The sequence below is a fragment of the Homo sapiens genome, chromosome 12, assembly GCF_000001405.40.
Source record: "Homo sapiens chromosome 12, GRCh38.p14 Primary Assembly".
Classification (NCBI taxonomy): Eukaryota; Metazoa; Chordata; class Mammalia; order Primates; family Hominidae; genus Homo; species Homo sapiens.
Window position 1 is genome coordinate 93,277,214 of NC_000012.12, and position 27,636 is coordinate 93,304,849.

A 27,636-nucleotide genomic window follows, 5' to 3' on the forward strand; every position below is an offset into this window, starting at 1 on the left:
TGATTTTTTTTTTTTTTGAGACTGAGTCTCTCTCTGTTGCCCAGGCCGTAGTGCAGTGGCGCTATCTCGGCTTAATGCAACCTCCATCCCCTGGGTTCCTGTGATTCTCCTGGCTCAGCCTCCTGAGTAGCTGGGATTACAGGCACGCACCACCACACCCAGCTAATTTTTATATTTTTAGTAGAGATGGGGTTTCGCCATGTTGGCCAGGCTGGTTTTGAACTTCTGACCTCAAGTGATCCACCCATCTCGGCCTCCCAAAGTGCTGGTATTACAGGCATGAGCCATCACACCCGGCCGGGTTGATTCTTGCATTATGTGAATGTATTATATAGTCAAAAATGATGAATTAGAAATGAAAAACAGGTACGTAGTGTTAAGTAGTAGATCTAAAGATAGAGTTGGAAAAGTCTTATGCCTGTCTTGTCCACTGCAGGAAGGTTCATGGAAAGAAATAAAAATGACTCTCAAACTCAGAATAACTTAAAATTTTAAAATGGCATTAAAATGTACCTATCAGTTAACTAATTTTCTGAAAGACTTAAGATGGCGTCTGTTTTCCTTAAGAACAACAAAAAAGCATCATACCAACCAAAAACCCCTAAGTCATCTGAAGGAAATGCCCCATTGCTCACTGTGGGGCATTTTATATGCTCAGGACATGGGCTGCCTAACCACTATGTTCCCTCATTTTCCCCTGCCAATCCCATCAGAATTTTATTTATTTCCTACTTTCAACTTTTTCTAGCCAGTTTCGACCTCTTTTTCAGAACGCAATATCCTCACATATCTTGGACTTTTCTTTTTTAATTTTTTCCCTCTCTGCCCCACCAATCTGTCTTGGACTTTTTTTTTTTTTTTTTTTTTTTTTTTTTTTTTTTTTTTTTTGAGGCAAAGTTTCGCTGTTGTTGCCCAGGCTGGAGTATGATGACGCAGTCTCAGCTCACTGCAACCTCTGTCTCCTGGGTTCAAACAATTTTCCTGCCCCAGCCTCCTGAGTAGCTGGGATTACAGGTGCTTCCCACCACGCCCGGCTAATATTTTGTATTTTTAGTAGAGGTGGGGTTTCACCCTGCTGGCCAAGCTGGTCTTGAACTCCTGACCTCAGGTGATCCACCTGCCTCAACCTCCCAAAATGCTGGGATTACAGGCATGAGGCTCTGCGCCCAGCCTGTCTTGGACTTTTCTAGCCTCCATGCCATCTATCAAAGTCTTCTAAGATCTCTGACTCCATTCAACTTACACATTTATACTCAAAAATCTAGATTGCCTTCTATGCATATGATGCCCTACCCAAGCCAGGACACAATAAATACCTCATGTAACCCAATAAATATCTCATAACAGTCCTGTAAGATGAAGACCATCACAATCCATCTTCTCAGCATTTTACAGGCTTTTTTTTTTTTTTTTTTTTTTGAGACTGAGTCTCACTCTGTTGCCAGGCTGGACTGCAGTGACTCAATCTCCACTCACCGCAACCTCTGCCTCCCGGGTTCAAACGATTCTCCTGCCTCAACCTCCCGAGTAGCTGGGACTACAGGTGCGCACCACCATGCCCAGCTAATTTTTGTATTTTTAGTAGAGATGGTGTTTCACCATGTTAGCCAGGATGGTCTCGATCTCTTGACCTCATGATCTGCCCACCTTGGCCTCCCAAAGTGCTGGGATTACAGGAGTGAGCCACCACACCTGGCCTTTACAGGCATTTTTTAAATGGAGCCTGGAGAGGTCTAGTACTTTGTCCAAGGTTATGCAGTAAGGGGAGGTGGGGCCAGGAAGTCATCTTGAGCAGTCTGACTCCATGGCCCACTATTCACTAGCACTGCCTCCCTAGATGCCCCCAAAATGCTTCTGGCCATAGACCTTTCCTTCTGCTTCTCATCCCTCTATGCTTCTTTACCTTCCATGCATGCATTCATTTGTCCATAATATCCCTGGCCACCTGCTGTATGCCAGGCACTGTGCTAGGCGAGGAGGATGCAAAGATTAAGAAGACAGTAGTCCCTGACAGCAGTCCCTGACTTTGAGAAGCTTACATTCCATAGAGAATGCACAGAGGTAAAGGACAACCCCATGCACAGGAGGTTCTACAATGTGAGCCTAGGATAGGGCCACCCACACACACTTGTATGCCTTTCTTGTTTTTCCTCCTCTGCTCAAAAAGTCTTCATTTAAGGCCCTGTGTTCATCATGATGGGAAAATCAGCTCAAGAAAACTTCAGGAGGATTCCTCCAGGTAAATTAAGTTACCCAAACAGACTAACATGCTAACAACTTTCAGATTTGGAATCTGCTCCTCTAGAGCCTACAGTTTGATGACTGTCATTTCATGTTGAAACAAGAACAAGAGGATTGCTTATGTTTGCTTCTCTCTGCAAGAATCTAGGTTGAAAACAAAATGAAAAGGAAATCTAATCTGAGGACACTTCTCAAGTAGAAGTCAGAGGAAAGAGCAATAAAGAAGAACTCAGAGGTCTTACCTGTTACCCTTAAATGTCTTCTTCCTGATCACAGTCCAAAGGACTCATGTTACTAATACCATTGTTCTGACAAAGCTAGCAAGGACAGTCTGCTGAGCAAGTATGCAGTCTTCTCTGTGATCTATTCTGTCTTCACAGGCAAGAGTGATTGCCCATGTTCCATCCCCCAACAAAGCATCAAAACCAACCACACAGACCTGGGTTCAAAGGCAGACTCTACCACTTACTGAGAGATCATCAGTGTCCTTATCTGGAGAATGGGAATCATCCCTAACAGGTGCAAAGACTCTAGCCTTGGGCATGATCAAATTCAAAGCCTTCTTGGGACACTCTCATAATCAGTCACTGCAGGCTTTCACCTGCACAACCATCTAGCTCAGCTCTTGTGCTAATATATCAGAGCCCTGGCCCCAACTGCCCAAGGGACTTGTAATTATTTTTGCAGCCGTAAGTCTGGCATCTAGTCCTGCAGATGGGTAGGGAGAACAGGTCCTATGACCTGGGAAGAGAGGGAGTTGAAAGCAACAGAGTATCCCAGCTGCAGTCACACAGGCTGGGGCTCAGATTACACTCCAGACAGGATGCAGAGCAAGAGTACAAGGAAATCCAGGCGAAAAGAAATGCTGCAAGTTGGAGGGAGGGAAGTGTCCAGGATGCCCCCAGAGACAGACTGAGTCCATAGTTAGATATCAACAAAGCAGCACCCAAAAAATGACTACAGAAAGAATTCCCTACTTCCCAAAAAACACTCAGAAAATCACATTGAGGGAAAAAAATCTGAACTATGTTGGACTGGCCTGAACTTTTGTATAGTTTAATATTGTTTTTAGTTTTAATACACAGAAGCCAGGTGAAGGTAGGGATTGGAAGACATCATATTCTTCTCCACGCTAGGTCCACTATGGTTCCTAATCCAGCCTGGCCTATTAAATACCAATGAGATTTAATGTATGTCTCTCTAGATTGAGGGTCAGAAACCCAAATGCCTACAGAAGTCAGGCAGATTAGATAAACGAGAAACTGTGCTAGGTGGGGGTGTAGGAGCTGGAACACAAATGCTCTATGGATGCAGGCAGTTGTTAATCAGTCAATTGCTGCCACAGAGAAGCATGGCCTGAGTTGCTGGATCAATTTACTTTTACATTCCCACATATTAATTCTAAAAATGATTTTTCCAACTGTCTTAGTCTATTTGAACTTCTATAATAAAATTCCATAAGAGGAGTGGTTAATAAACAACAGAAATTTATTTCCCCCAGTTCTTGAGGCTGTCAAGTCCAAGATCAAGGTACTGGCAGATTTGGTGTCTAGTGAGGGCCTGCTTCCTAGTTCATAAACTGCTTCCTTTTTGCTATAACCCTACAGGGAAGAAGGGGTGAGGGAGCTTTCTGGGGCCTCTTTCATAAGGGCGCTAATCCCATTCGCTACGGCTCTGTCCTCAAAACCTAATCACCTCCCCAAACCCCACCTTCTTATACTTCACATTGGTGATTAGGTTTTAACATATGAATTTGGGAGAACATAAACATTCAAATCATAACACCAACCTATTTTGGGGGTTTTTTGGGGGTTTTTTTTTTTTTTTTTTGAGACAGAGTCTCACTCTGTCACCCAGGTTGGAGTGCAGTGGTGCGATCTCAGCTCACTGTAGCCTCCACCTCCTGGGCTCAAGAAATTCTCCTGTGTCAGCCTCCCAAGTAGCTGGGATTGCAGCTGCCTACCACCAGGCCCTGCTAATTTTTGTATTTTTTTAACTAGAGATGGGGTTTCACCATGTTGGCCAGGCTGGTCTCCAACTCCTGACCTCAAGTGATCTGCTTGCCTCAGCCTCCCAAAGATAGCACCAACCTTTGTTCAATTTATAAAAGATGTTTGAAATTAAAGTCTGATTAATTTCTATTTTCATTATGGATTACTAATAATATCAGCTAACACTTCCATAAAACTTACATGGCAGGCAGCATTCTAAGTGCTTTATTCACGTTGACCCATTTAATCCTCACAACAGCCATTTGAGGCAAATCTATCATCATCCTCCTGTTGTAAATTAAGAAATTGGGAGTCTCTGAGCCTACTCTGGCTCAAGAGGCTGCCCAATAAGAAATAAGAAATTGTTTTTTAATATTTAAAAGAAAGTTAAAGAAAAAGAACAAACAAATTAAGAAATAGAAGCATAAAGTATCAAGCAAATTCTCCCAACTCACTCAGATAATTTGTGGCACAGCTGGAGCTACATGGACAACTAACCCTGGGTTCAAGATGAGTTTAACTTTGAGGCTTCCAGAAAAGACATGAGAGAGCCCTCCTGTAAATGGTGAATGGTTTTCTTTTACCAAAGTCTTTATAATAGCTCATTCCCCCAAAACCCTATAAATCAGAGAAGTCAACTCTGACCCCTTGTCTGTGTTAGTCAAAAAGTTTCATTGGAGCAGAACCATACCTACTCGTTTATGTGTCCTCTGAGGCTGGCTTTGGTGTATGGTCTCTACCATGAGTAGTCATAACAGAGACCATGTGGCTCCCAAAGCCCAATATGTTTATTATCTGGCCCTTTACAGAAATAGTTTGCAAACTGCTACTCTGAATTTAAAAAGATTTTTTAAAGTTCTTATACTTTATACTTAATTGTACTAGACTCAGATTAAGAAAAATATGTCCTTGAGGCCGGGCGTGGTGGCTCATTCCTGTAATCCCAGCACTTTGGAAGGGCGAGACAGGCGGATCACCTGAGGTCAGGAGTTTGAGATCAGCCTCACCAACATGGCAAAACCCCATCTCTACTAAAAATACAAAATTAGCCGTGTGTGGTGGCACACGCCTGTAATCACAGCCACTTGGGAGGCTGAGGCAGGAGAATCGCTTGAACCAGGGAGGTGGAGGTTGCAGTGAGCTGAGATCATGCCATTGCAGTCCAACCTGGGCAAAAGAGCGAGATTCCATCTCAAAAAAGTAAAGAAAAGAAAAAGATGTCCTTGAGGCCAGGTGTGGTGGCTCCCACCTGTAATCTCAGCACTTTAGGAGTCTGAGACAGGCGGATCACTTGAGGTCAGGAGTTTGAGACCGGCCTGGTGAACATGGCAAAACCCCATCTCTACTAAAAATACAAAAATTAGCTGGGTGTGGTGGCGGGCACCTGTAGTCTCAGCTACTTGGCAGGCTAAGGTGGAAGAATCACTTGAACCTGGAAGGCAGAGGTTGCAGTGGGCCGAGATTGAACCATTGCACTCCAGCCTGGGCAGCAGAGCGAGACTCCATCTCAAAAATAAGAAAAATATGTCTTTGAAACTTCAATTAAAAGTATCTCCTCCTAAAGTTGAATTCATAGAAGGAAGAAAGCTCTTAACTAGAAAGTTCCTTAAAAACACACAGATATGGCCAGGCGCGGTGGCTCACACCTGTAATCCCAACATTTTGGGAGGCTGAGGTGGGTGGATCACCTGAGGTCAAGAGTTCGAACCAGCCTGGCCAACATGAAGAAACACTGTATCTACTGAAAATACAAAAATTAGCTGGACGTGGTGGTGCGTGCCTGTAATCTCAGCTACTCGAGAGGCTGAGGCAGGAGAATCGCTTGAACCCAGGAGGCGGAGGTTGCAGTGAGCTGAGATCATACCATAGCACTCCAGCCTGGGCAACAGAGTGAGACTCTGTCTCAAAAAAAAAAAAAAAAAAAAACACAGATACATAAACTTTTATGGAAATTTTCAGTTTCTTCTATAAAAGCAGAAAAAGAAACAATTCAAACCACAATTCCATTTCTCCAATTATCAAAAATCTGCCAATCCTTTTTTTATCCAAAAAGACAACTTTTAGTGGTAAAAGCTGCTTTTTTGTGGCAACTGTTCTTGTTTCTATTTTATTTAAGGTTTTTTGAATAACTAGAACATACTAGAATTGTGTTTAAGAAGACTGAGAATACATCTTACATTTGTGACTAATGACCCTCTTAGACTGAAAATCAATGTTTAGGCAATAAGTGTAAATTTTACAGATTACAATAAAATAAAAACAAGTTAGTACACAGCTATAATTTGATGAAGTTAAGATGGTATTTTTAAACTGAAAGGTCAAGTTTCTTGTGGAAACAAATATGTGTTTCCAAGGATTGTCTCATTAGTAACTGGTGGAATCATTTATAAACAAATAAGACAAACAACCTTTCCAGGCCTCAATTCTTAAGATAAGATATAGAAAAAGGTCATTTTAAGACCCTAGGAAGTGTCACACCATCAGGACCTTTCTACAAATGAGTGTTTAAATATACTGATGATAAATACCTGAAGAAATTAAGTTGACCTTAAAGAAATTAAATTAAGTTGAATCATTGGATTTTGTCCTAAACTTTGCAGAATCAGAGATCATTTCGACTTTGCAGACTTCAAGCAGGGTATTTTTCTGCTCAACTGCAGTTGACATTTCTTGCATGGTAGGGGAAAAAATATCTAAACAAATGGAGGGATACACTGTGTTCATGGATTGGAAGTCACAATATGTTAAAATATCAGTTCTCCCTAAATTGATCTATAGATTCAATGCAATCACACTCAAAATTCCACCAGACATTTTTGCAGAAATTGACAAGCTGATTCTAAAGTATATAAGAAAAAGCAAAGGAAGTAGGATAGCCAAAACAATTTTGGAAAAGAATGTTAGCTGCCTCACACTACCTGATTTCAAGGTTTTGTTTGTTTTTTTTTTTTTTTTTTTTTTGAGACGGAGTCTTGCTCTGTCGCTCAGGCTGGAGTGCAGTGGCGCCATCTAGGCTCACTGCAAGCTCCGCCGCTCCCGGGTTCACGCCATTCTCCTGCCTCAGCCTCCTGAGTAGCTGGGACTACAGGCGCCCGCCACCACGCCCGGCTAATTTTTTGTGTGTTTTTAGTACAGACGGGGTTTCACCGTGTTAGCCAGGATGGTCTCGATCTCCTGACCTCTTGATCTGCCCGCCTCGGCCTGCCAAAGTGCTGGGATTACAAGCATGAGCCACTGCGCCCGGCCTTTTTTTTCTTTTTAATTTTTTTTAGAGACAGGATCTCGTTCTATCGCCCAGGCTGGAGTGAGTGGCATGATCGTAGCTCACTGCACCTGGGCTCCTGAGCTCAGGCGATCTTCCTGCCTCAGCCTCCTGTGTAGCTAGGACTACAGGCACACACAACCACACCTGGCTCTGATTTCAAGTCTTACTGTAAAGTTAACAATAATCAAGATATTAAAGAAGGCCAGGTGCGGTGGCTCACGCCTGTAATCCCAGAACTTTGGGAGGCTGAGGCAGGTAGATTACCTGAGGTCAGGAGTACAAGACCAGCCTAGCCAGCATGGTGAAACCCCGTCTCTACTAAAAAAAATACAAAAATTATTCGGGCATGGTGGTGTATGCCTGTAATCCCAGCTACTCAGGAGGCTGAGGCAGGAGAATTGCTTGAACCCGGGAGGTGGAGGTTGCAGTGAGCCAAGATCGTGCCATTGCACTCCAGCCTGGGTGGAAAGAGCGAAACTCCGTCTTAAAAAAAAAAAAAAAAAAAAAAGATAGTAAAGAATAACTGCTGCAAATCACTTGGGCTTAATCAGGTGGTAAAGATTTTTGTTTCCAGAGTAACTAAAATTTTAAAAACTAACAATATCAGCCAGGCGTGGTGGCTTACGCCTATAATCCCAGCACCTTGGGAGGCCGAGGCGGCGGGCAAATCACCTGGGGTCAGGAGTTCGAGACCAGCCTGGCCAACATGGTAAAACCCTGTGCATACTAAAAATACAAAAAGTAGCCGGGCATGGTGGCACATGCCTATAATCCCAGCTACTCAGGAGGCTGAGGCACTTAAACCCAGGAGGTTGCAGTGAGCCAAGATTGTGCCATTGCACTCCAGCCTGGGCGACAGAGCAAGACTCCGTCTCAAAAAATAAATAAATAAATAAATAAATAAATAAATAAATAAATATAAGAATACAAAAATTAGCCAGGCATGGTGGCACACACCTGTAATCCCAGCTACTCAGGAGGCTGAACCAGGAGAATCCCTTGAACCTGGGGGGCGGAGGCTGCAGTGAGCCAAGATCGCACCACTGCACTCCAGCCTGGGGGACAAAGAGAGACTCCGTCTCAAAAAAAAACTAACAATATCAAGTGTTGGTGAAGATGTGGAGCAGCCAGAGCAAAGTGGTGTGTAGTTAGAAAAATGAAATTAAGTCAAAGAAAAGACTTGGACAAGAGTGTTTATAGCAGATCTATTCGTAATAGATCCAAGTGTCCAGCAACGAGAGAGTGGATTAAAAAGTGTGATATGTTCATACGATGAGATAACAAACACTCAGCAATAAAAAGGAACAAACTACTGATACGCAGAACATTATGGATACATCTCAAAATCATCAGCTTGGTTGAAAGAACCCAGAAACAAAAGAGTATATTCTATATTATCCCATGTGTATAAAGTTTAGCAACAGGCATAACTAGTGACAGAAATCAGAACAATGGTTGCCTCTGCAAAAGGCAGGTATTGACCACCAAGGGACACGAAGGAACTGTCAAGGTGAGGGAAATGTTCTATACATATCTTGACTTGGGTGACAATCACATGAGTGTAATCATTTGTCCAAATTCGTTGACAAATTCACTTAAAATTGGTGCATTTTCCTGTATGTAAAATATATCTCATTTTTAAAACTTGTGTTTCCACATTGACCAGAAAGATCAACACATGATCTATCTCTTATTCATTGTGCTTTCATTTTTAGGACTAGTTGGCAGAAATCTAAGGCTTTAAACAGGTTGTCTATGATTCTAGTCAGAGCTACCAACCTCTTAACACAAGACGCTCCTTCTTTCATTCATTCTACAAACAGACCACAAAACAATCAAACACTGTTTCAATATATAATTTATACAATACATAATTTATGCACGAACATGGCACTCTTCTGGCTTTTTATATTCATTAGTTAATCTAAATTCTACTTTTTAAAAATATGCAGTACGGGCCGGGCGCTTTGGCTCACACTTGTCATCCCAGTACTTTGGGAGGCCGAGGCAGACGGATCACGAGGTCAGGAGATGGAGACCATCCTGGCTAACGTGGTGAAACCCTGTCTCTACTAAAAATACAAAAAATTAGCCGGGTGTGGTGGCGGGCGCCTGTAGTCCCAGCTACTCCGGAGGCTGAGGCAGGAGAATGGCGTGAACCCGGGAGGCGGAGCTTGCAGTGAGCAGAGATCGCGCCACTGCACTCCAGCCTGGGAGACAAAGTGAGACTCCGTCTCAAAAAAAAAAAAAAAAAAAAAAAATGCAGTACGGCCAGGCATGGTGGCTCATGCCTGTAAGGCAGGAGGATCACCTGAGACCAGGAATTCAAGGCCAGCCTTATGAACAGAGCAAGACCCCATCTCTACAAAAATTTTAAAAATAAAAATAAAAAAATTGCCGGGCATGGTGGTGTGCACCTGTAGTCCCAGCTACTCACAAGGCTGAGGCAGGAGGATTGCTCGTACCCAGGAGTTTGAGGCTGCAATGAGCCGTGATGGCACCATTGTACCCCAGCCTAGGTGACAGAGCAAGACCTTGCCTTAAGAAAAAAAAAAAAATTGGGGTAGGAATATTTAACACATGAGAATCAAGGTTCAGAAAGATCAAGGAACTTCCCCAAGATAACATAACTAAGGAGTGATGTCATGAAGACTCAAACCCAGATCCTAAGCACACACCCTTTCCTCTCCCCAGTAAATACTCTTACAACGCACACTTGTGTGTGTGTGTGTGTGTGTATGAAATATTCAAATTGCTAATTGTAGATTTTCCATTCTTTTATCATGAATCTGTGATAACAGTTTTTTTGTGATATTTAAAAATAAATAATCAAAGCCTTTATAAAGGTCTGGAGCACATGGAAAGTTTGAAACCATAGCCTGATTCACCATACCTGGCTCTCATTCTCAAACCCCTGTTTGCTTTGAATTCTAGGGGCTGGAATACTGACAGTAAAAGAAGGAAACATTTGTAGTGCTTGCCAAAGGGTAAAGGGGGAGTTTCTCTTGCTTTGTTTAGGTGTAAAACATAATCCTCTATTATCCTGCACACCGAAGTATTGCCAGCGTCTTTAGAAGGGAGGTAGACATACTGTTTGCATTTTCAAATTTTAAAATTGAGGTAGTGGCTCATGCCTGTAATCCCAGCACTTTGGGAGGCTAAGGTGGGTGGATCACCTGAGATCAGGAGTTCGAGACCAGCCTGACCAACATGGTGAAACCCCATCTCTACTAAAAATACAAAAATGAGCTGGGCGTGATGGCAGGTGCCTGTAATCCCAGCTACTTGGGAGGCTGAGGCAGGAAAATCACTTGAACCCAGGAATTGGAGGTTGCAGTGAGCCGAGACCACACCATTACACTCCAGCCTGAACAACAAGAGCAAAACTTCATCTCAAAAAATGAAATAAAATAAAATAAAATTGAAAGCAATTAGCAGGAAAAGAGAAATGAGCTTCCTCATCTGCAACCACTGGCTGCTCTTCCAAGCCATGGTCCTTAGAATATGGTTCCTTACTGAATTTTTTGTTCTCATTAGTGGTTTTTAACAGTGAATTTCTAACTACCCAAGTCTATACCAAAGCCATAATTATTTAATTCTGATCTGTTAGAAACTTTCTAAGAATCCACCCAAAAATGCCAGAAAAATTCAAATGACTCTCGTGTATATAGTGAGATTAGTATTCCACAGAAATGCCTCATTAATGTCAAAATAATTCACTTAAATCTTATCCTAGCAAAGCATAAAACAGCTATGAAAAAGAATAATATCGTGTAGATACCAAGACAGAAACAAGCTGAATAGCTGGTAATGTTTATAGACGAGCAATCAATTAACTGATGAAGAAAAAGAAAAAAAATCACTATTGAAAAAGCAGGCTTCTAGTCTACTTCCATAATACTAATGCTCTAAAAGTCATTTTGCATCATCCACAGAAAGCTCCCACATATCTGGCCAACAAAATTGGAAGTTGGTTTCCAATCTGTTTTCAAGTCCTAATCCTAGTTTCCCTAAAAAATAGTTTGCACTTTAAAGAGCCCAGGACAATAATTCCCCTGGAGACAATTTACTTTTGTGGCTGGCTTGTCATTCTACATATAAACCATCTTAGGCATCAGCTATAAGCTAAAAAATCTCATTCCTCTCCTTGGCTCTTGGAGCATGGAAATAATAAAAGTGTTTCCCCAGATCTTACACCCTTCTGAGTTCCAAGCAGCAGTGAATATGATTCCCAGGATTGTAAATAGTCTTATAAATCTTGCCTTCCCTGACAGGTTTAACTTTTCATTTTTCTTAAATATTAGCAATAAAAGTACTGTGTGTAAATATCCTTAAGATTTGGGCAAAGCTATCACAGGATTCAAAATACCCAGTGCCTATAAACACACGGCTTTTCATACAGCTAACAGTGGAGAAACAATTCCAGGAGTGTGCCAGGAATAGAGAGGAAAGATTCTAAATAATACAGGTGAGGTAGAATCATAAAGGAAAAAAAGTTAACTTTAAAACACATAATTTTTGTTCTGCAGGCAGTTTCAAATTGGGTCGTTCAAGCCAGGGTGTTTTTTGACTTTGGTTCTCCCTAGGGAAAAGCACACAGTAGCAAAGGATAATGAAAAGGCCTGGAGAACTTGGATACAGACGGTCTGGGATTTCAATCCCACTTTAACTCTCCCAAGACAAGAAACTTGAACAATAATAAATTGATAATAACAGTGAACAGTTATTGAAACTTAAGGTGTGGTGGGCTGTCCTAAGTGTTTTGTTTTTGTTTTTGTTTTTGAGATGGAGTCTCTTGTCGCTCAGGCTGGAGTACAGTGGTGCGATCTCAGCTCACCGAAACCTCTGCCTCCTGGGTTCAAGTGATTCTCCTGCCTCAGCCTCCCGAGTAGCTGGAATTACAGGCGTGCACCAACAAGCCCAGTTAATTTTTGTATTTTTAGTAGAGACTGGGTTTCACCATGTTCGCCAGGCTATTCTCAAAATCCTGACCTCAAGTGATCCGCCTGCCTCAGCCTCCCAAAGTACTGGGATTACTTTGGGATTACTGAGATTACAAGCCCGGCCTTGTCCTAAGTGTTTTATGTACATTAACTCATTTAATTCTATGAGGTAGTGAAGTGTTTAGGAGGATAAGTTCCGGAGCTACACTGTGTGAGTTCAAAAACTTTCCCATTTGCTAACTATATCATCTTGGGCAAATTCCTTTTCTGTATAATGATCCTTCAATGGTATCTACCTCCTAGGTTACTTATAAGAATTAATGAGCTAATACTAACCATAAGCACTTAGAATAGTGTTTGGCACAATGTAGGTGCTTAATTGTTTGCCATTCTTATTTTCATTTTACATTAGGAAACTGAGGCATAGAAAGTCTGTTTACTAGAGATGCAGTAATTAATATCTAATGAACCTGTAATATCTGGTACTTTGTAAATATTTTACACGATAGTTATTTTTTATTCCATAACAAACAAAGAGGTTGAAAGGTTCTTGTATTGGTTCAAACCCCGAGAGCACACCAACAGATAACACAAGGCGGTGTGGAGCAACATGCTGTTTTAATGAGCGCCTGGGTGCAGGCAGGCTGAGGCCTAAAATGGCGTCAGCACCAAGTGAGGATGGGGCAGGGGTTTTATAGTCCTCTGTAAACAAGAAGTGTCCCAGTCTGACGTGACTGCTACGTAGTACCCAGACGGCCTCTTTCTCAATCTTCAGGGGTACATGTCTCCCTGCCAGAGTAGGTGTCTTCCGGCCAGGGTAGGTGTCTTCCTGGCAGCTCTCTTCCTGCTTCTGCTGTCTTGCTGATGCACGCAAGTGGCCTTGAGCCTTGGGACTGGGCCTGAGAAGGGAGGAGTTATCCCTCCAAGCTTTCAGACCCCGGGAGAATCTTTCAGAGGTCACTGTGAAAACAACTCCCCCTTTGTAATTCAAAATTGCGCTTCGCCTATGTAAACCAAAAATAAAATTATAAGCCTCCCAACTGACTGAATGGATCCCTCCTCTTGGCCAAGGGGATTCCAGAATAAGCCTGAAAAACTACTTCAGGCCATGATGGGAAGGAGGGGTTGAGTATGCCTCATTATACTCTCCTCCCTTTGGAATTCAGGTACAACTGACCAACAGTAACATTAAAATAGAGATCCCAAGACTGACAAAACAGATTCTTTGTAGCAATAAGATACCAAATTCCAACCTGACTCTAGTATAACATCACATGACAGATAGCAGGCCCTGAAAGAAATTGAGGCATTTTACCCCAAAATATATTTCTTTGACAGATTTTGAAATGGCCCTGCAAAGCTATCTCCTGTGGGGAAAAATCTACATTCTGTAGAGAATCCTCTTCCCTTTTCAGGTCTTTTCCTGATCTGGGGGAAATTAAAAGTCTAGCACCTAAAAAATAAATTAAAAATAATTTTAAAGAAATAAAAATAATTTTTAAAAAATAGTCTGACACTTTTTAAGGTCTGATAAGAGACATTTACTATCTATCCTCTCTGAAGCCTGCTACCTGGAGACTTCCTCTACATAATAAGAACCTTGGTCTCCACAACCCCTTATCTTAACCTACACATTCCTTTTGATTGATTCCAGCTCTTTAGATAATGACTTAATTCTTTTTTTTTTTTTTTTGAGACGAAGTCTCACTCTGTCACCCAGGCTGGAGTGCAGTGGCATGATCTCGGCTCACTGCAAGCTCTGCTTCCTGGGTTCACGCCATTCTCCTGCCTCAGCCTCCCGAGTAGCTGGGACTACAGGTGGCTGCCACCACTCCTGGCTAATTTTTTGTATTTTTAGTAGGGACGGGGTTTCACTGTGTTAGCCAGGATGGTCTCAATCTCCTGACCTTGTGATCCGCCTGCCTCGGCCTCCCAAAGTGCTGGGACTACAGATGCCTGCCACCACGCCCAGCAATGACTTAATTCTTTCAACCAATTGCCAGTCAGAAAATCTTTGAATCCACCTATGACCTAGAACCACCCCACTCTGTTTCAAGTTGTCCCACCTTTCTGTACACTTTACATGTATTGATTGATGTCTGCGTGTAATTCCTGTCCCCCTAAAGTGCATAAAATCAAGCTGTAACCCAACCACCATGAGCACATGTTCTCGGGATCTCTTGAGACTGTGTCTCCAGCCTTGGTCATTTATATTTGACTCAGAATAAAACAAAACCTCTTTACATATTTTACAGAGTTTGACACTTTTTGTCAACACCTAAACTGATCATAAAAAGTTCCAACTGTAGATTTCTAATACAAAACTTTTTTTTTCTTTTTCTGAGATAGAGTTTTGCTCTTATTGCCCAGGCTGGAGTGCAATGGTGTGATCTCAGCTCACTGCAACCTCCTCCTCCCAGGTTCAAGCGATTCTCCTGCCTCAGCCTCCTGAGTAGCTGGGATTACAGGCCTGCGCCACCAAGCCCAGCTAATTTTTGTATTTTTAGTAGAGATGGGGTTTCACCATGTTGGCCAGGCTGGTCTTGAAATCCTTACCTCAAGTGATCCGCCCGCCTTGGCCTCCCAAAGCGCTAGGGTTACAGGCGTGAGCCACCGCATCCAGCCATAAAAAACATTTAAATAGCTGTCCATTACTATCATGCCCTTCTTGCATTCCTGGTAATAAATCCAGAGCACATTAAAACTCTACACATTGAATGGAGACATTCTGCAATAACTCTTGTGTTAAATCATCTTTCCAATAGTAGTCAGTTTACTGATCTGTAAAATGGGAAACCAACACTAGTCCCCACAGCAGGGCACCTTAGGGTGAATTCTCTGCTGTCTACATTGTGGCCCACACACTGGACAGCCTTGGAAGCTTGAGTAGAGAACACAGCCATCTCTCAGCGACAAACTCCCCTAAACCAGGCTCATCATCAAGGCCCATATATAAAACTAAAACGTCAAATTATTTTTCTTTTTATTTTTTATAGAAATGGGATCTCACTTTGTTGCCCTAGCTGGTCTCAAACTCCTGGCTTCAAGCAATGCTCTTGCTTTGGCCTCCTAAACAGAATGATGAATTATTAATTTATAAGGAGATATAGCCCGCCAAGCAGGCCTGAGAATAGATTAGTTGATGGCTATATTTGCTCCCTGGAGGCCAGAGTATAATTAGGTTGCTTGATGAATGCAGAACCAGAAAGCAGGCAGAGTCATCCACCTCCAGAGGAACTGGAATTGAAGAGTTTGTACTGGGGCCTGATGAGGCGGGGCCTTTGCTCTGTAGCCAACCCCCCTTAGGCACAGTTTAGTTTGCCCTCCTCTCGGGCGAATTAATTTCCTTTCTGAAGGGCACATTCTTTCTTTGTCTCTGTAAATAACTTCAAGCCTATTAGTCAAGTCTTGGGACCTAGAAGCCATTCCATCCTTTAAGGTAATTTGCCTACATAATCTGATTCCTTTTATGTTTGTTTTGCAATTTAGCTCTCTCTGAAGGCAATCTCCTTTCTGAAGTTCAAAGCCCATAGGGAAGTATATCCCTGTTTCTTCCATACACCAACAGTAAGATAATCACCTAGTCTAGCACAAAACAAATGCTCCAGAAAAGTAATCCCCTTTCGTAATGCCCTTCTTCCAAAAGGTCAACAATAGTTTTACCTACCGGTGGAACTTTAGAAATGCTCATGGGGGGACACTGGCAGATCTAAGGGTGAGTTCATTCATTCATTCATTCATTCATCTTCTACTTTCTGGCTATTAGGTGCCAAGGGCTGAGAAATGTGCTATGAGTCAACAGGATGTGAAAAAGACATGGACCATGCCAGCCTGAATCTCTAAGGTCTTTGAAACAAATATTAACAAATTAAGCTACACTGTAATCCTACCAGAGAAGGCAAAATTATAACCTGAGAAAAGTACTCTGAAGAAGAAAAGAAATACAATTCTTTTAGAAAACAAATGATCAGGCCAGGCACAGTGGTTTACACCTGCAATCCCAGCACTTTGGGAGGCCAAGGCTGGTAGATCACGAGGTTAGGAGTTCGAGACCAGCCTGGCCAACATGGTGAAACCCCGTCTTTACTAAAAATATAAAAATTAGCCAGGTGTGGTAGTGCACGCCTGTAATCCCAGCTACTTGGTAGGCTGAGGCAGGAGAATCACTTGAACCCAGGAGGCGGAGGTTGCAGTGAGCCGAGATCACACCAGTGCACTCCAGCCTGGGTGATAGAGCAAGACTCTGTCTCAGGGAAAAAAAAAAGAAAACAAATGATCAGACCCAACTCAGGCAGTTGAAAAGGCTTTCCTGAAGAAATGAGATGTTTGTTGAGGTTAAGAGGAGAGAAGTAGATGTTAGCTGGTGGGGGCAGAGAGTGGGTGAACGGGCTTAGGAAGAGGAGAGCCTTTCATCCGAAGGAAACTGCACTTGCAAAAATCTTAAGGCTTGCAACAGTGAGCAGCAAATGCATAAGAAGAACCTAAGAAAGGCCAGCCAAGCAGGGGAGCAAAGAACCATTGAGCAAAGCAGTGATAACACAGGTGGCATAGGCCAGGCATGGTGGCTTATGCCTGTAATCCCAGCCCTTTGGGAGGCCGAGGCAGGCAGAACACTTGAGGTCAGGAGTTAAAAGACCAGCCTGGCCAATATGGTGAAAATTCGTCTCTACTAAAACCACAAAAATTAGCCAGGTGTGGTGGTGGAGTGCGTCTGTAATCCCAGCTACTAGGGAGGCTCAGGCAGGAGAATTGCTTGAAGCTGGGAGGCGGAGGTTGTGGTGAGCCAAGATCGTGCCACTGCACTCCAGCCTGGGCAACAGAGTGAGACTTTGTTTCAAAAAAAAAAAAAAAAGACAGGTGCCATAGGTAGGAAGGGGCTGACCCATGCAGGGTCTGGCTGGCCAAAACATCAATTTTGATCTTTATACCAGGAAGAAGAGTTTTAGGGCAAGTTGAAGATCCTTGAGCAGATGTGTACTTCTAAAGATCACTCTTCCTGCATAGTGGAGAGTAAGTTGAAAGGGGCTAAAGAGGAGGCTTGGGGACCAACTTAACAGGATCTGCGGTTGTCCAGGTGAGGGATGCTGGTTCCCTTAGTGCAGATGAGGAGAAATGGACAGGGCTGAGATACAGAGAAAATAAATGCCTATTAATAAGCAAAGGTTAAGAAAAATTGTCCATACCATGATGTCAACCTAAAGGAAAAAACTGAGGCAAAATTTGTATAAGTATAGCGTTTATTTGGGCCAGATTTGAGGACTGCAACCCAGAAGCATAGATTCAAGTTGCTCCGAATATACACTCCAAATAGACTCAATGAAATAATGGGACAGAAACTTAGGGGATTGGCCAACGAGAATGGCCAGGAAAGAGCACTAAGGAAACTTGGGAGGTGAAATCTTGTGTTGGTGGTTACATGAATATAAATTTTTTTTTTTTGACATGGAGTCTTGCTCCGTCACCCAGGCTGGAGTGCAGTGTGCGATCTACAACCTCTGCCTCCTGGGTTCAAGCAATTCTCTCGCCTCAGCCTCCCACGTAGCTGGGATTACAGGCACCTGCCATCATGCCCGGCTAATTTTTGTATTTTTGTAGAGATGGGGTTTCACCATGTTGGCCAGGCTGGTCTCGAACTCCCGACCTCAGGTGATCCACCCACCTCAGCCTCCCAAAGGGCTGGGATTACAGGCATGAGCCACCACGCCAGGCCATAAACATTTTTTTTAATTCATCCAAATATATGTTTAAATGATTAAGTTTCATTGTATGTAAAGTACACCTCAATAAGGTTAATATTTTTTAAAAATCAGTTTAGCTTAATTATTAAGAGCAAGTACATGGATTTTGGAAGTGTACAGATATGGCTTTGAATCCTAGCTTTACCATTAGTAATTGTGCACTCTAAGAAAGTCAGTTAGCCAATGTAAGCTTTAAGTCTTATCACTGGTAAAATGGGGAGGGAGGATGGCTGTTTTGAAGACCAAATTGCCTAGCTTAGCAGACTGCCAAATACAAAGGCAAGAGGGCTTTTCATTCAAATTTTATTCCTTGCCACAGTGGAAGTATTAGGTGAAAAATTAATGTTTCTTGAGTGTTTCCTTGTTTTCTTTTTCTTTTTCTTTTTTTTTTGAGACAGGGTCTTATTCTGTCACCCAGGCTGGAGTGCAGTGGCATGATCACAGCTCACAGCAGGCTCAACCTCCTGAGCTCAAGCAATCTTCCCACCTCAGCCTCCCAAGCAGCTAGGACTACAGGTGCATAGTCCCACATCTGGCTAATTTTTTTAAGTTTTTTTATTAAAAATAACTATATTGCCCAGGGTGGTCTCAAACTCCTGGGCTTAAGTGATCCTCCCAAAGTTCTGGGAGAACAGGCATGAGCCAGCAGACCCGGCCCATTTCTTGAGGGCTTCCTATTATTAGGCCTATGGTAGGCCCTTTACAGGTGTTGTCTCATTTGATCCTAATGGAAACTCTAAGAGATGGTCTTTGTTCCTATAGCTTAGAAACTTCCCAGGAACCAGTAAGTTGGTCAAGGTCATTCACAGACAGAACATGGAGCCAAAGTTCCTTGCCACAGTGAGAGAATGCTGCCTTCGCCCCACCCTCAGTGACTGGGGAGGAAACATGAGGGTCCTCACAGGGGATTTTCCAAAAGAGAGTTTAACCCCAAGTGGTCTGAAAGATGATTCTAAATGGCACACAGTAGGTCATTTATTATTTTGCTTTTATTGTATTCAGTTAACTTCTGTTTCATAGTAGTCTTCCATTTATGATAATTAATTTAATCTCCTTTTAAAATAAGCTTAAGTTTTTAAAGTGAGTCAAATTAAAGAAAATTATGAAAGAATTGATAGTATGGGCATTACTTGTGTATTTTTCAAAATTGGGAAGAAGATTTGGAAAGCTTGAGAAAGGATGGGCCAGCCCAAGCAGAGACATGTTAAGGCCCTGAGATGCCAGAAAGACAGTCCAAGGAGGCGGGGAGGATTCTGGCTGGCTTATGACCCTAGAACACCTGAGAAGAGGCTAGAGGGTCAGAAAGGGGGTGATCCCTTTCCTCACCATCACAGGGGTTACAGCTGACACCTATAACAAAAGACAGGTCAACAAGAGAAAAGCCTAACACATTTATTTGATCACAGTTTTATGTGACACAAGAGCCTTCAGAATAAAGACCCACAGATACAAGGAAAACTGTCCATTTTTATGGCTTAGGTTCAATGAAGAATGGACAGCCATGTAGAACTGTGGTTGGACAGAAAAGGAATAATCTAAAGGAAATAGACTGAGTGGGGAAACCTATTAAGCCCTGTGGACTCAGATTCTTCTTGGCCTCTCTGCAGCATTTCTTTCTTCCCAGTATGGGGCCAGACCCTTTCTGCAATGGGAGTCTTATGACCTATTACCAAACAAGGTAGGTTAGAGAATTTTTTATGGCCCCTCTTACACAGAAAGGCCTGGGAAGTTTAGAGTAATATTTTTAGCTTTTCTGGCTGGCTTTGGGGAAGAGCAGTTCTATGACCCGCCTTGCGGAAGGATTCTAGTTTCTACAGCTAGCCTCAAGGGAGAACAAAGGGTGAGAGACAGGAAGGCAGGGGAAAGTCAGAGAGAAACTTTGCTTCAGTGGCTGCTTCTGATACCTTCACTTTGGGGTATTGTTTTCGGAGCCCCACTGAGGGCTTATGCTCACATTACTATTGCCTCCTATTTGAGCAGCTTCAAGACATCTAGGGAAAATACCTGGACCCCAGAGAAGGAATAAAGATGGGGAAGGAAGACATGGGAGGAGGAGAGTAGGAGGAGGATGGAAGGAAGCTGGAGAAAGTGATCCAGATCGAGTAGCTGTCAGCTCCAGGCTGGGATTCCAAGTACCATCATCTGTCCGCCCCAGCTAGGGCAGCAGTCTGGGGAAAGCCAAAACAGCTCAAAGCTTTCAAAAGCCCTATTTTCCCCTATGAACTAGGGAGAACCTGGCTGTAAAAGTGATCATTTTCAAAAACAAAGAATTAAAATAATGAATCCTCTTGCAGTTTCAGCTTTGCCCAGTCACTGTCACAGGTGGCCTTTGAAGATGAGGCAAGAGATAATAGGGTAACTATTCCTAGAAAAAGACAGTGATGGTCTGCAGATTTAAATCCAGAGCTTCTTACACCAGGTATTGTGTTTTCCAAGCAAGAGCTTTGCAGAGCAGCTGAATGGCCCACAAGATACATTCTTCTCAGAAGCCACAACTGCTTGCGTTTTTCCTAATCTTTAGGGGATTTTTTTAAATGCTTATAGAATTTATTCTATACCTTGTTTCTGCTCCTGTTTTTCTGGTACCAGCAGGGTGTAGCATTGGATTTGGTCAAATTAACTTTTAAATAAAGCCCCTAAATTCTACTCCTAATACCCTTACCAGGATCATCCCCCAAAACACACACTGTCTATGCCCAGGCTCTCAAGAGAGATGTTCCGGAAGCTTATTCATCTACAAAGGGAGCAAGAGCAAGAGAAATTAAGAAGCTTCTTTAAAACTGCAAATCAGTTTGCACAAAGAAAGAGCAGGAAAATAGGAATGAGTGGCCAGGCTTCAGTGTTAGACAAAGTCTAGACCCAGGAGAAAGAACATCAAACCTACACACTATGGGTGGAACTTTGTGGGGGTTGAAGAAAAGGATTATAAGCCAGGGGCTGGCTAATGCAGGAGGATCACTTGAGCCCAAGCATTCAAAACCAGCCTGGTCAACATAGCGAGACCTGTCTTGAAATAAACAAACAGCCAGCACAGAAAGACAAACTTCACATGTTCTCACTTAGTTGTGGGAGCTGAAAATTAAAATAATTGAACTCGTGGAGACAGAGAGTAGAAGGATGGTTACCAGAGGCTGGGACGGGTAGGTGGGGGTAAGGGGGTAGCAAGGATGGTTACAAAAAAATACAAAGAATGAAAAAGATCTAGCATTTGCTAGCACAACAGGAGGACTATAGTCAAATATAATTTAATTGTACATTTTTAAATAACTAAAAGAGCATAATTGGATTGTTTGTAACACAAACGATAAATACTTGAGGTGACGGATACCCCTGATGTGATTATTACACATTGCACACTTGTATCAAAATATTTCATGTAACCCATAAGTATATACACCTACTATGTACCCACAACAATTAAAAATTAAAAAAAATTAATAAAGGAAACAAAAATCGGGGGGCTTGCGGGTTCACAAGAGATTATTTGGGAGAAGGCCTAGTTCAAAATGAACACTGAATGTTTGCAGATTGAATCAATAAATGCATGAGTGGCTGGCTAAGCTAGTGGGCCCATGGCAAGCCCAGGAGAGAGAAGACAGGGAGCAGACCACCAGAAGCTTATTCTTATGCTTCTCTAGTCTCAGTCAAATTTGGGTCAAAAAAATAGAGGACACATCTAGGTACCTTAGGGCCCCTTTGTCCAGACCTGTGCATTGGAACAATATGAGAATCAGCACCTCCCCACCTACATTTCATAATAAAGATCGTAGGAGTTTTCTCAATTGCTAACAGTCAGTTACAGTTGGAACTGCTTGTTCTCCTCTTTCTCCCCTTCTTACAACTGCACTTGACTAGTCTTATTTATTTTTTTTCTTTAAAAAGATCATATAAGCTCCTAGGCCTTTCTAAGCTTAAAAAAGCTGAAACTCACTAAGGGGAAGAGAACTGTGAACATGCTGCATGATAACTTCCATATGAACTAGTAAAACTTCCCTAAACATATGGTTGTTATCATAGATAGCATCATTGTTTCAGGGAGCACTTACTGAAAGGCTACTACGTACCTACAGACCTCATGTTGATGCAGAACAGGTGCTTGATCCTAAACGGTGGTGACAGTTCACATAGACAGAGAGCACTGGGTGAAGAGTCAGGAAATATGAATTCCAGTCCTGGCTCAGACACTAAGTGGCTTTAGGAAATAGGCATTCCAAGCAGAGAATAACTTGTGAGCCATCACAGACTGACAAGAAAAAGCATGTGTGAGATCAAGAAACTATAAGCAGCATGGTGCTCAGTAGAATCGCTGGGCAGGAGTGGCTAATACTTATTGAGGGCTCAGTAAATAGTTGTTGAATGAACGAATGAGGGGGAGGAAGATACAGATCACAGAGGATCTTATATTCATTCTATGCTAAGAAACATGAATGTCTCGGCCAGGCATGGTGGCTCATACCTGTAATCCCAGCACTTTGGGAGGCCAAGGCAGGTGGATCACATGAGGTCAGGAGTTTGAGAGCAGCCTGGACAACATGGTGAAAGCCCTCTCTACTAAAAATACAAAAATTAGCCAGGCGTGGTGGCGGGTGCCTGTAATCCCAGCTACTCAGGAGGCTGAGGCTGAAGAGTCGCTTGAACCCGGGAGGCAGAGGTTGTAGTGAGCGGAGATCGCACCATTGCACTCCAGCCTGGGCAACAAGAGCGGAACTCTGTCTCAAAAAAAGAAAAGAAAAGAAACATGAATGTCTCTTGGAGGCAATGGAGAACCACTGAGGACAGAGGACTTTATTCAGACTTAGGTTGTAGCTAGGGGCTGTGCTACATAAGGAGTTAATTTAGGAGAACAAGGAATTACACAGAAAGACCCATTAAGGCCGGTCGTGGTGGCTCAAGCCTGTAATCCTAGCACTTTGGGAGGTGGACGCAGGAGGATCACTTGAGGCCAGGAGTTCCAGACCAGCTTGGCCAACATAGCGAAATCCCATCTCTACTAAAAATACAACAAAAAATTAGCCAGGCGTGGTGGCACACGCCTGTAGTCCCAGCTATTCAGGAGGCTGAGGCAGGAGGATCGCTTGAACCCAGGAGGCAGAGGTTGCAGTGAGCTGAGATAGTGCCACTGCACTCCAGCCTGAGTGACAGAGTGAGACTCCATCTCAAAAAAAAAAAAAAAAAGAAAAGAAAAGAAAGAAAGACCGGTGAAGAAGCAATGATCAAAGAGAGGGAGAAGAGCAAATGGCTTGGAGAAACCAGACCTGAAACAGACAGCACTTGCTGGGTGATTAGATGAGGGAGATAAGTGGAAGAAAAATTGAATCATGGGCTTTTAGGGTAATAAAGTTCTTGATAGTAACACTAGTTTACATAGAAAGTGCATAAAGTGCAAGTAACTGATAACTTCGGTTTGGAATGTTAAGTGGAATATCCATGTGGAAATAAACCAGAGCTAACATTTACTGAGCCTTTCCCATACGCCAAAAGCTGTTTTAAGTCCCCTACAGATGTGAACTTGTGTAATCCTGCAACAGCCCCATGAGATAGGTACTATTATTAGAGTCCCTTTTTTAGACAAGGAAAACAAGGTACAGAGAGTTTAAGTAACTTCTCAAGGTCACACAGCTGGTCAGTGGCAGAGTCAGATTCAAACTCGGACAATCAACTCCAAATCCCACTTTCTTAACCTCTGTGTAAATGGGTATTTGCCATATAGTGAGGGCACAAAGCCATCACTCTACCTCTTCTTGGAGAAGTAAAAAACAAAAAATAATCAAATCAAAGTGATGATTTACATTTTTTAAGCACACGAAATGCAAGAATTCCAACCATCAGATTGTGAATGCCATTATTTTTGGTGCTGTAAAACATATTAATAGTTAAATCTAAGTCTACATTTTAATATACATCTAGTCTCCAAAGCAAACAAGATGTAATGTGATTTGTAATATGCACTTGTCAAGTCCTGCTTTATTTATTTATATATTTATTTATTTATTTATTTATTGAGACAGAGTCTTGCTCTGCACCCAGGCTGGAGTGCAGTGGCAGGAGCTTGGCTCACTGCAACCTCTGCCTCCTGGGCTCAAACGATCCTCCCACCTCAGCCTGCCAAATAGCTGGGATCACAGATGCATGCCACCACATCAGCTATTTTTTTGTATTTTTAGTAGAGACGGGGTCTCGCCATGTTGCCCAGGCTGATCTCAAACTCCTGAGCTCAAGTAATCCGCCAGCCTTGGCCTCCCAAAGTGCTGGGATTACAGGCATGAGCCACTGCGCCCGACCCTAAATCATGCTTTTTTATATAATCTATTTAGAGTAAATTAAGTAGCATACGTCATTTGTTTAAGGAAAAGTTAAAGCTGGTGTTTATATGCATTATAAGTATTATTACAGAACATATTAAGACATACTTCAATATAATCTTTAAAAACATAATTCTCTTAAGTTGATTTTTTCTTTTTTTTTGAGACAAAGTTTCACTCTTGCCCAGTGAAGCAGCATGATCATAGCTCACTACAGCCTCAACTTCCTGGGCTTAAGCAATCCTCCTGCCTCAGGCACCTGAGTAGCTGGGACTATAGGTGCCCATCATCATGTCAGGCTAATTTTGAAAAATTTTTTTTTTTTGAGACGGAGTCTTGCTCTGTTGCCCCAGGCTGGAGTACAGTGGCGAGATCTCAGCTCACTGCAACCTCTGCCTCCCAGATTCAAGTGATTCTCCTGCCTCAGCCTCTTGAGTAGCTTGGACTACAGGCGCCTACCACCATACTTGGCTAATTTTTTTGTATTTTTAGCAGAGATGAGGTTTCACTATGTTGGCCAGGCTAGTCTCAAACTCCTGACCTCAGTTGATCTGCCCACCTCGGCCTCCCAAAGTGTTGGGATTACAGGCGTGAGCCACTGCACCAGGCCCTAATTTTTTTTTTTTTCTTTTGTAGAGATGAGGTCTCGCTATGTTGCCCAGGCTGGTCTTGAACTCCTGACCTCAAGCAATCTCTCACCTTGGCCTCCCAAAGTGCTACAGTTATAGGCATGAGCCACTGCACCTGGCATTAAGTTGATTTTTAAAAACCTAAAATAATTTCTTTATTTCCTAACTACTTTGCAGAAATAACATAATGACTTTAGTTCCTTAGAGGGGATCATAACATTATTTATTACTGTAAAATAGATTTGAATTTTAAAAGATCAGGAACTACTGCTTGGCACCGAGGTGTAATTTCTGCCATTTTGAGACATATTCCATAACCCAGGGATCCCCACAAACAACTACGACAAGAATAAATATGAGATCCTTTCCATTCCAGGGTTTGTGGTAGAGGGTTTAGCTTTGACTTGGACCCCTTACTGAGTGACTAACCATTACACAGACAGAGCTTGTGACCTCATGGACATGCTCAGCTGGTGAGCTATTCTGCCAGGAGCTCAGTGCTATTTTCATTTGGCTTTAATCTTTCCTAGATCAAGACATAGCCTTCTTTGAAAAGCCAGGTTTAGTAAGATATACACATGACGTATTCTCAGAAATGAAAGAAAACACTTTTAGCTTCCTTCCCTAGTTACCAAAACTCTAGAACTTACTGTAACCCTAATAGCAGCCAAAAAGAAGGTCTTTTCTCTTGACCCTTGGCTGACCCTTCTTCCACTTCCACGAATTTTCTCCCTCTTTCTGGCTATGGCATAAGTTTTGTTCCCCTTGAGATTCAGCCCTTAACAGAAATAATTCAGGCAGGGTAACAGAATGTTCTAGAGCACTCAGCCATGACTACTGAGCACTCAAAATATAGCTACAGTGACAGAGAAAGGAGATTGTAATTAATTTAAACTTTAATTTGAAAACTTGGACCAGATTTAGTTATTGAAGAACTTCTACATAATTTAGTTATTGGAGAATTTCTGCATATGTTTGGAATAACTTTGATATGTAAATCTACTTTTTCAACTGTAAATTTTGTGAAACCTAAATTTTATAAAATCTAATTTTATGAAATTTTATGAAATCTAAATACAGACCAAGTATTTCCAATGAAAATTTAGTCTCCAAACCGAGATGTGCTATGTGTTACATCCACACCAGATTTCAAAGACTTAGCACAAAAAAAGTAACTGTCTCATTAATAGTTTTTATATTGATTACATGTTGAAATGATAATATTTTGGCTATATTGGGTTAAAGGAAATATATTATTAAAATTAATCTCACATGGTTCTTTTTACTTTTTAATGTGGCTATTAGAACACTTTAAATAATATATGGGGCTCACATTATTTCTATCAGATGGTGATGGTCTACAGCATGGGTGATAGTGTCACAGAGACTAAGCTCCCCCGACTTGCTGGCTGTGTGACTTTAAGCCATCTTCTTAACCTCTTTATTATTTTATTTTATTTTATTTTTGAGACAGAGTCTCACTCTGTCGCCCTGGCTAGAGTGCAGTGGCACAATCTTGGCTCACTGCAACCTCTGCCTCCCGGGTTCAAGCGATTCTCATGCCTCAGCCACCTGAATAGTTGGGATTACAAGCATCTGCCACCATGCCTGGCTAATTTTTGTATTTTTAGTAGAGACGGGGTTTCACCATGTTGCCCAGGCTGGTCTCGAACTCCTGGCCTCAGGTGATCCACCCACCTAGGCCTCCCAAAGTGCTGGGAGTACAGGTGTCAGCCACCGTGCCTGGTCTACTTAGCCTCTTTAAACTTCTGTTTACTCATCTGCAAACTGAAGAAAATATTGGCCGGGCGTGGTGGCTCACTCCTTTAATCCCAACACTTTGGGAGACCAAGGCAGGCGGATCGCCTGAGGTTAGGAGTTCGAGACCAGCCTGACCAACATGGAGAAACCCCATCTCTATTAAAAATACAAAATTAGCTGGTCCAGATGGCGCATGCCTGCAATCCTAGCTACTCGGGAGGCTGAGGCAGGAGAATTGCTTGAACCTGGGAGGTGGAGGTTGCTGTGAGCCAAGATCACGCCATTGCACTCCAGCCTTGGTAACAAGAGAGAGACTCCATCTCAAAAAAAAAAGAAAGAAAGAAAAGAAAATATTACAATTTTCTGAATAGGCATACAGTGAATTTTACATGAGACAGTGAGCATAAACTGTGCCTGACTTATAGTAAAATATTCTGCAAATATTCACTTTTATTATCATTGTTATTATTCTCTAGCAATCATCCAGATGTTTAGCAAAAGAATGCCTCAAAATAAATATTAGTTCCCTATGGGTTGCCTCTTGTATCTCATGACTAGATAAATTGTAACCTCATTTTCCAAAATGAAAAAAAAGGGACTTGAGGTCAGATACAGGTTTTTCTCATATTTGTCAGTTTTTTAGTATTTAAAAAATCACTTTTTTTAGTTGATGAAATGCTTTTGGGGGGGGGGGGATTAAAATAATGAAATTACTTAAAACCCAGACTTCCCTGAAAAATCTAGGGCATGAGTTTTACTCCTAATA

At 42.3% G+C, this 27,636-nt stretch overlaps 1 long non-coding RNA gene across 1 annotated transcript in view, besides 2 other annotated features; it reads right to left on the minus strand.

Annotated features, from left to right (window-relative positions):
• LOC643339 (uncharacterized) overlaps positions 1 to 27,636 on the minus strand; it is a 373,979-nt gene that overhangs the window by 273,456 nt on the left and 72,887 nt on the right. The gene's annotated exons all lie outside the window — the stretch shown is intronic.
• Positions 25,863 to 25,922: an enhancer, noted in NCBI's record as "active region_6766". NCBI's record gives its function as "activates an Ori minimal core promoter by ATAC-STARR-seq in GM12878 lymphoblastoid cells {active_cell/tissue: GM12878}" and the evidence as "EXISTENCE:reporter gene assay evidence [ECO:0000049][PMID:35858748]".
• Positions 25,943 to 25,992: an enhancer, noted in NCBI's record as "active region_6767". NCBI's record gives its function as "activates an Ori minimal core promoter by ATAC-STARR-seq in GM12878 lymphoblastoid cells {active_cell/tissue: GM12878}" and the evidence as "EXISTENCE:reporter gene assay evidence [ECO:0000049][PMID:35858748]".